The sequence below is a fragment of the Homo sapiens genome, chromosome 6 (assembly GCF_000001405.40).
Source record: "Homo sapiens chromosome 6, GRCh38.p14 Primary Assembly".
NCBI lineage: Eukaryota > Metazoa > Chordata > Mammalia > Primates > Hominidae > Homo > Homo sapiens.
In genome coordinates, this window is record NC_000006.12 from 129,791,665 (window position 1) to 129,801,854 (window position 10,190).

At 40.2% G+C, this 10,190-nt stretch overlaps 1 pseudogene; it reads left to right on the forward strand.

Annotated features, from left to right (window-relative positions):
• On the forward strand, window positions 2,360–9,987 carry B3GALNT2P1 (beta-1,3-N-acetylgalactosaminyltransferase 2 pseudogene 1; annotated as a pseudogene).

The following is a 10,190-nucleotide window of genomic DNA, read 5'->3' on the forward strand; positions in this document are numbered from 1 at the left end:
TTTATTTTCACTTGGTAAATTTGTTTTTGTTTTTGTCTTTGAGACAGTCTCGTTCTGTCACCAAGGCTGGAGTGCAGCAGCAAAATCGTAACTCACTGCAGCCTGGATCTCCTAGGCTCAGGTGACCCTCCCACCTTAGCCTCCTGAGTAGCTGCAACTGTGGGTGCATGCCACCACACTCGTCTAATTTTTTATATATGTATATTTTTTAGTAGAGATGAGGTCTTGCTATGTTGTCCAGGCTGGTTTCAAGCTCCCAGGCTCAAGCAATTCTCTTGCCTCAGCCTCCCAAAATACTGGGATTACAGGCATGAGCCACCATGCCCAGCTTTGGTAAGTATTTTTTTTTTTTTAACTTGGTAAGTACTATTTTTTTTTTCTATTTTCAGGGACGCTATACTGTGCTAGGCTCTGCAACACAGCAGTATACAAGACACACTTACTCTCCCTCCCCCAACCCCACACCTCCCCACCCCCGCCCCAGCACAGGTTAAAGTGCAGTAAGGAATGTAGCCAATTCCAATGTAACGTGACAAATGTTTTGATTGATAGGGAAAGAGTAGGGAAAGATTAAAGTGCAATAAGGAATGTAGCCAATTCCAGTGTAACATGACAAATGTTTTGATTGATAGGGAAAGAGTAGGGAGCTGTGCAGATGAACAGAACGGGTACTGTCCATGGTCTCATGTGAGGAGCAGGTTAACAGAGATCTTCCTGAAGATGTCCAAGCTGAGAACAAGCAGAGTGACCCAGCCTAGAATGACCCAGTGCAGGCATAGAGGAAGGGACTGGGTAAAAGAAAGAGGGTGGAATGCAGATAATTATTCCCACTGAAAGAACAGCATTTCCAAAAACTTAAAAGTGAGAGTCGGGTAAATTTGGAGAACCAGAAGCAGTTTGGCATGGCTGAAGCACAGAATGCCACGGTAAAATGGAAGAAAGTGAGGCTGAAGCTTCTGAGGGGCCTTGCTGTTTCTATAAAGGTACTTCCGGTTTATCATCTTGTCCAGGCAGCCCTGTAGGTCTGGGGTGGAGCCTCCTTTGCATTTTGAAGAATTACTCTGGCCAGAATGAGGAGGACAGATGAGAAGGAGGAGTACTGGAGGTGGGACGAGCAGTGAGGGGGCTACTGCAGGAATCAAAGCTCATCTTGGTGGATCTAGACACAAGGGAATGACTGGAAGAGAGGTTTAGGTCACACGCTTGGCAGGGCCTGGTGATGAGTGGATATATAGGGAATGTGGCAGGAAGAGAGAAATTCAAAAAAGACACCCGGATTCTTGTCAGGTAACCTAGGAAACTTCTATCCTAGAAGCTGAGTTTGAGAACTTGGAGGAGGGTATTCTCTCAGAGAGGTCCAGTAAATCGATGCATAAATAGATCTGAAGGCCCAGAAATTAATTTGGGATGGAGCTAGAGACTTACAAATTACAATTCATTCCTGTTATACTTGTTACAAGCATAACAAGTGTAATGTAACAAGTTATGCCTGGTAAGTGTAGAGCAAAGCATGGTGGCTCATGCCTATAATCTCAGTACTTTGGGAGGCCAAGGAAGGAAGATCACTTGAGCCCAGGGGTTTGAGACCATCACGGGCAACATAGTGAGACCCCGTATCTATCAAAAAAAAATTAGCTGCTGTGGTGGTGCACACCTGCGGTCCCAGCTACTGGGAAAGCTGAGGCAGGAGGCTTAGTTGAGCCTAGGAGGTTGAGGTTGCAATGAGCCATGATCATGCCACTGTACTCCAGCCTGGGTGACAGAGCCACACCCTGTCTCAAAACAACAACGACAAAAGCAAAGACAGTGAATTAAATTACCTAGGGAGAGGGTGTAGAATGGGAAGAGAGTTTAGGACAGAATTCTGGGGAAACCAAAGAATAAAGGACTAAAGGAAGAGAAGCCACCGTGAGGCCGAAGAGGAGCAGCTGCCAGGGAGGAGGAAAGGCAGTCCAGTGTGAGGAAGTGGTTAGCAGAGCCAGATGCGGTGCCGTGGAGGGTTAAATATGATGATCACAGAAAACGTCTCTTGAATGTAGTACAGAAGGAGGTCTTGATCTTCACTCAAATAGTTCCAATAGTGTGATGGGGGCAGAAGGGTGACCACGAGATTTGAAAGTGACTGGGAACTGAGATCTGGTGATAAGGGATGCAATTCAGAGCACAGGTGGAAGCACTAACCTCAAATGAGGGAAGGGAAATGCTCAACTGTAAGAGAAGGAAAAGAGGAAAAGATGGGTGCATTTATATTTTCATTAAGAAAAGATTTTGGCAAGACTTCAAATATTAGAGAATGACCCTCTGATATCCAAATTATAAGAAAGTGCAATTTGCATTCTTTTTTATTTTTATTTTGTTGAGATGGGGTCTCACTCTCTCGTCCAGACTGGAGTACAGTGGTGCGATCTCAGCTCACTGCAACCTCCACCTCCCAGGCTCAAGCGATCCTTCCACCTCAGCCTCCCAATTAGCTGGGATGACAGGTGCATGCCACCACGCCTGGCTAATTTTTTGCATTTTTGGTAAAGGGGTTTTTGCCATGTTGCCCAGGCTGGAGCAATTCGAATTCTTGAGTTGTCTTATATGACAGAGACAGGACCGACAAAGATTAATTTTGGCTTTACCTAAGGAGGAATTTGTTAATAATTATAGCTACTAAAATTGAATGCTTGTGTTAGTAAATTGCGAGTTCCCTGTCACTGGTATGACTGAAATAGAGGCAGTAGCTTCTTTAAGAAAGAGTAAAGAGTAAAATGGGGATGGCAGGGTTGGAGGTTGGAAAACAGAGGATTAACCACATGCTTTCTAATGTCCCTTTCTGTCCTTGACATTCAACCCTGCAAACTACAGCAAGCATGTTATGTATTGAGTCTCATCCCTCTTGATTCCTTTTGGCTGGTGGTTAACATTTCATCCTGCAGATCCAGCCTTCAGATCCAGAAGCAGTCCCAAATATTTCAGAACTAAAAACTGCATAGTCTCCAGGGTGGGGACTGGAATTAGGCCTCTGACCCTTGCTTAGTTTCCAGAGTGTCTGAGTTGAGCCTTGGGACTCCCTGGATGCCCACAACACTGCAGCTTTCCTCCAAATCACCACAAGTGCCCATTCCAAGTGGCGTTGTCTCACTTATTGTTGAGCACCTGCTATGTTCCAGATGCTGTGCTAAATGCTAAATATATGATGATGAAAGCACATTCCATGAGGACACGATTTTTGTCTAAAAACAGTTCACTGATGTATCCCCAGCACCTAAAATGGTGCCTGGTACAATGCAAGTCTTGATAAGTATTTTTTCAATGAATGCCACAGACTGTCTTCTCGAATCCAGTGTACAAGACAAGCATATACACTGACGACTGCAGTATAACATGGCAAGTACTGTTATGGAAGCTCATAGGAAGCACAGAAGGGGAATACTTCCTTAGCCTGGGGATTTTTTTTTTTTGGTATTTTGGTTCCCAACTAGCATTGGAGCACAAGCCTGAATCAAAATCTGCCTGCTGACTTGCCAGCCTTTGCCACACTTGTCTACCCATAAAGCAGAACCATGTCACTCTACCTTAAACCAGTAGCTTCAGTCAAGGCACTCATCTTAGGTCCCTTGGGACCCCTCTGCCATTGAGGCACTGCCACCATCATGACCACGAGTGGATATTGCTCCTGACCAGAGAGGTAGGCACTCATACCTACCAGGTCAGATCACACCTACCAGGTCAGAGTCCTTAGAGAGATGAATGCCAGTCTCAATTGCAACATATTAGACATTGTATCTTTGACAGCTGGCTGAGCTCTTAGAGGGCAAGGCACATTGCCAGGAGAATGCCTCTAGCACCAGCCACACTCCTGCCCCTGTGCTGCCCGCCTTAGAGTCCCAGTATGGTTCACAGGATGTTCAAACAAGTTCTCTAGGAATTAACAATCCAGCCACTAGCCCAGCTCATTTGCTTTCTAGCATGTGTTACTAGGAACACTGAAGTGTCATCATAAAGAGAGGGACGTGGTGGTAGGAGCATGAGCTTGAGACCCAGACAGCTTCTTTGCCTCCTTTGTATGACTTTGGGCAAGTCACCTTAATTCTCTGGTTCCCCATCTCTCCCTTCTTTTTTATTTTTTCCCTATTTTGACATATCAAATATGCAACATACAGAAAAGTTGCAAGAATAGTAAAAAGAATTCCCAGAAACCCTTCATCCAGATTCCCAAAATGGCAACTGTTTCTGCAATTGCTTCATCCTTTCCTCAGTCACTATCTGTGGGTGCTTGTGTGCACATATACCATGCATCTCAATTTTTTTCTGAACCACTTAAGAATAGGTTGCAGACACCCTCTTTCCCCTACATACTTCAATATGTATTTATAAAAACAAGGAATTCCTCAAGTAACCAGAGTACAGTTTTCAAAATAGAAAATTAACATTGAAACAGATACTATTATTTAATCTACAGACCTGTTAAGGTGTTGTCAATGTTTCAGAAATGTCCCTTATAGCAAAAGAAAATCCCAGATCATGCATTTCATTCAGTTGTCATGTTCTTTTTTTTTTTCCCCCCCACTCTTCTGCTGAAAGAGAAAGTTGTCATGTTTTTAAAGACTCCTTTAATCTGGAACATTTTCTGAGTCTTTCTTTGAATTTCATGATATTGGCATTTTTATAAAGTATAGCACAGTGATTTTGTAGAATGCCTGTAAGTTTGGGTTTGTCTGATGTACCCTCAAGAGTATATTCAGAGGCTGGGCGCGGTGGCTCACGCTTGTAATCCCAGCACTTTGGGAGAACATGGCGGGTGGATCATGAGGTCAGGAGATAGAGACCATCCTCACTAACACGGTGAAACCCCATCTCTACTAAAAATACAAAAAATTAGCCAGGCTTGGTGGCAGATGCCTGTAATCCTAGCTACTGGGAGGCTGAGGCAGGAGAATCACTTGAACCTGGGAGGCAGAAGTTGCAGCAAGTCAAGATCGCATCATTGCTCACCAGCCCAGGAGACAGTGGGAGACTTCATCCCCACAAAAAAGAATAGATTTAGATTATTCACTTTTGGCAGAATGACACAGAGGTGTTGCTGAGCTCTTCTCAGTGCATTGTGTAAGAGGTATGTATTAGTTCGTTTTCACACTGCTATAAAGAAATACCTGAGACTGGGTAATTTCTAAAGGAAAGAGGTTTAATTGACTGTGGTTCCACATGGCTGGGGAGACCTCAGGAAACTTACAATCATGGCAGAAGGTGAAGGAGAAGCAAGCACCTTCTTCACAAGGCAGCAGGAGAGAGAAGAGCGAAGGAGGAACTTCCAAACACTTATAAAACCATCTGGTCTCATAAGAACTCACTCAAAATCATGAGAACAGCATGGAGGTAACCGCCCCCATGACCTAATCACCTCCCACCTGGTCGCTCCCTTGACACATGTGGATTTTGGGGATTACAATTCGAGATGAGATTTGGGTTGGGGCACAGAGCCAAACTATATCAAGGTATATGCTGCTGGTTAGTCCCATTGCTAGTAATGTTAACTTTGACTATTTTCTAATGTGGTGTTCTGCAGTTTTCTCAACTGCTATATTTTACCCTTTGTATTTAAAGAAAGATCTTGTGGGGATGCCCATTACTCCTTAAACAAGATGAATCAGTTATTATACTGGCTGGCAAAGGTTGATTTTTATAATTCCAACACTCTTTCTAGATGTATGAGTTGGCAGTCCCTTGTAAGAAAGAGTTTACCTTGTCCCCCAATTGGCTTGTTTTACTCGAGACTCATGAAGTTTAATTTACTAATAGAGTAAAATCCTTTAATTTACTATTTTTATTTTGATACTCAAATTGTCCCTGGTTTTGCCAATGGGAGCCCCTTCGAGCTAGCTCTTTCATATTTTTGGTATGTCCTCATCATCCTTTGGTATGATGAAATGTCCCAGGTTTATCTTATTCTTTCTGTAAACTACCCCTGCTTAGCCATTTTTATTTTCAGAGAAACCTGGCTGTTTTTAGTGAAGAATGGTATTTAGAAAACAAGATCTAGTGCTAAGAGGTGAACCCCATTGTTAGTGGGATTTCATTTTTTTCTAGGTACTCTCAGAGGACAGACCTGAGTGGGAAGGAGAAGGGGGAGTCATGGAGTTGGGGGAGAGAGAGACAGAATATATACATACATACATATACATATATACATACATATATATGTATGTACATACATGTGTAGGTCTGTATATGTGTGTGTGTCTTTGTGCGCAGTATATATACAGATAACATATACATATACATACATATATTCTGTACATACACGTGTATGTGTATATATTCTGTCTATATACATACATATATGTATATATTTTGTACATACATGTGTATGAATATATATTCTATCTACTGTATACATATACACAGATATGTTTGTATGTGCATATTCTATCTACTTTGTATATATGTGTATACAGATATGCATATATGTATGTATATATTCTCTCTCTACTGTTTGTATATATTCTGTCTATATATACTGTGCAGTTATATGCACAGAGGCACACACACACATATACAGACCTACACATATCTATATCCATTTGTACCAATTTGTCTATGTCCCCATGAGTCACACTGATATCTACAATTCTAGTCCCCTCTTCAGATTATCGCTATCTTCTCCAACAGTGAGAATTCTGGATCCCAATATCAACAATGTACGAATTTATTTATTTGTTCAATTCTAGAATATACAAGTAGTTCCAGAATTACTAACCTATATTTCTGGATAAAAAAGAGGTCTACTAATTGGAGTTCAATATTTGTTTAGAGGTCTTTTTGCCTTTAGCCTGAAGGCAAGTAATCTAGGTATTGTGTTCAACATTTGCTTGAGTTAATTTTTTCTCCCTTCTTGAGTGTGATTATTTTATTCATTTGATTTATGTAGATCAATTCATTTGTTTCCAATTGTATTTAGTTTTAGGCTATCCTCCCCTTCTTTGTGGGTTTTTACATTTTTATTTATTTATTTATTTGAATGTGAGAAACAGTAATATTATGGGTTAAATTGTGTCCCACCTCCCATCCCCTAATTCATTATTGAATTCCTAAGCCGCAGTACTTCAGGACTCACCCTTATTTGGAAATAGGGTAGCTGCAGGGGTAATCAAATAAGTTAAGATGAAGTCATCCTGGAGTAGGTGGGTCAATATGACTGGTGGGACACCAGTATTACTGGTGTTCTTATAAAAAGGGAGAATTTGGACCCAGAGACATCCATACAGGGAGAACATCATGTGAACTGGTGTTACGCTGCTATGGGCCCGGGAAATACCAGAAGCTAAGAGAGAGGCCTGGAACACATTCTTCCTAGTGCCTTCGGAGGAAGCATGGCCCTGCCAGTGCCTGGATGCAGACTTCTAGGCTCCAGAACTATGAGGCCACAAATTTCTGCTGTTTATGCCACTTAGTCTGTGGTACTTTGTTATGACAGCCCTAAAAACCTAATACGATTAATATAGTTCCAGAAGTCAGGTCTATAAAAAGAAGGTGTATTCAGAGAAATGACCCTTTCCGATTGTTTTCTTTACTTTCTACCCAACTCTCACCATGCCCAGTAGCAACCGATATCTTTATCTTAGTCTCTGATTTTTTCTTCTTGAGTTTCTTTTCACTCAAGCTTATAGTTCAATGTATATGTTTTTATTTTTTTCTGGAAATCACTCTATATTACTTCCCACAGATCTTATTCATTCTTTTGTATGGCTCCATAGTAGTCCATTTTGTAGATATGGCATTTTGTGTGTACATTGTGGGGAAATCCATTTTGTGTGTAGACGTGTCCACTTTGAAGAATAGTTTCTTCAACTATTCTCCTATGTGTGGGCATTTAGGCATTTTCAATGCAAACAATGCTGCAATGAATAACCTTGTGCATTTATATTTTTGTATTGGCGAGGGTATGTCTTTAGAGTAGATTTCTAGAAGTGGGATTCTTTGATCAAAAGGTAAATACATGTGTAGTTTTTTAGGTATTGTGAAATTCTCCTCAAGAAGGCTGCATTCCCTTTAGCAACATATGAGAGTTCCTGTTTTTCCATAGCCTAACAAATAGAGTGTGTTATGTATTTTTAAATGTTTCCTAATCTAATAATAAATGACATATCAGTGTAGTTTTAATTTGCATTTTTCTTATCATGAGTGAAGTTAAACCTTTTTTCATCCATTTTTATACCCTTTTGCGAATTGTTTCTACATTTCCTTACATTTTTCATTTGGATTTTTAAAATCTTTTCACTCTCAATTTTGAAGAATGTTCTATATATTACAGAAGTTCACCCTTTTTCTGTGTGATAGAAGTGTTTTCATCCAGTAAGTCAGTGGCTTTTTTGACTTTGTTTATGATGCTTTTCGCTGTCTAGATTTTCTTTTTCATTTTTACATAGTTAAAATCATCCTTTTTTTTTTTTAAATTACGTCCAGATTTGGAGAATCCATTAGGCCTTTTCCAGCTTAAAGAGTAATTTATCCAGATTTCCTTATTGTACTTGATGGTTTCTTTTCTTTTTTTTTTTTTTTTTTTTTAACAATAGGTTCTTTATCTGTTTGGGGTTTATTCTTTTCTGTCAGGTGAGTTATATATCTGATGTTATCTTTTTTTCAAATGGCTACCAGTTGCCCCAGAACCATTTATTAAAATTCATTCTTTGCCTTTTTGATGTAAGATGCTCCCTTTATCATATACTAAAGTTTCAAATATGCTTGGATTTCTTTCTGGACTTTTGTTCTATTCAACCTATCTGTCAACATCTACTAGTAATATGCTTTTTTCATTATAGAGGCTTTATAATATGTTTTCTTTCTTGTTTTTTTTTTTAGAATAGAATGAGGCAAGTATGTTTTAATATCTAGTAGAGCTAGTATTCCCTCAAAGCTTTTTTAAAAGTGTTTTTCTGGATATTCTTGCATGTTTATTTTTCCATATGAAGTTTGCAAAATTTTTTAGTGATATTGCATTAAATTTATAAATTTGCTTAAAGGAATGACATCCTCATTTTTGTGATGTTGAGTCTTCCAATCCAAAAATAAGGATGTTTTTCTGTTTGTTCAAGTCTATTTTTATATCTTTCAAGAGTGTTTAAAGTTTTGCACTATAGATTTTGTACACTAATTGTTAAATTTATTTCTAAGTACTTTATCTTCTTTGTTGCTAATGTTAATGGGGCTTTGTCTGCTCTGTGTTCTCCAACTGATTATCCTTTATGTAAATGATTGCAGCCTGCCCACACCTCCGAGGCTGGCCCTGTGGACCAGTTGGCCTTATTTCTTCAGTGGAAATCTAGTCACTATGATGTGGTAGTTGGCGTGTTGTCACCTTGCTATAACCATAAACTTCAAAATGTGATAAGCAGCTGGCTGATCATTGGATACAACATCCTGCATTAAGTCAACGTGTGCTTGTCAAATTCATAATAGATGCCCATGGCTGCTAAGGGCCTGTGGAAGACCAGGAGGATCCCTACTACTCAACATCACAAATCCAGCTTTGAATCAGGAAATTGAGGCATTCAGTCTTTCTGAAGACACTTCATCAGGGTTCGCTGAGGACCGAGTTGTCAGTGTGAGTTTCCAACTTCTCTACACGATCCTTATTACCAGTCTTGGGGTGTTCTACAATGCCAATGATGTGGGTTTCCAGAGGAACGTCGCTCTCAAGCTTTCTCAGGCAGAACGGGAAGAGGCCCCCTTCATTGTTCACTAGAGTCCTCCAAGCCATGGTGTGCAGGTGAACAAGTTGTGTACAAGCACATGGAACAATTCATCTTACCAGAGAGCTTTGAAGGTACAATTGTATGGGAGAGTGAAGACCTCCACAACTTTGTGTTAAGAAATCTTCACAAAGTGACACTGAATATGGAGGGGGGATTCTTGGAGTCATTACAGCTGGGGAGGGTGCATTGCCTCATGAATTATTGGAAGGTATGGAGGGAGTTGGAGTGGTTTTAGATGCCTTATTGAAGGAGGAAAACATCATCTATGATGATATTGTTTTTGTGGATGTTGTCAACACTCATTGAAATATACCTGCAAAATTATTGAACTTTATAGATGGACTATGGAAACAACCAACTTTGATTTGTTGCTAAAGACAGATGATGACTGTTACATAGGCTTGAAAGCTGTATTTAATAGAATTTCTCAAAAGAATCTGAATAGGTCTAATT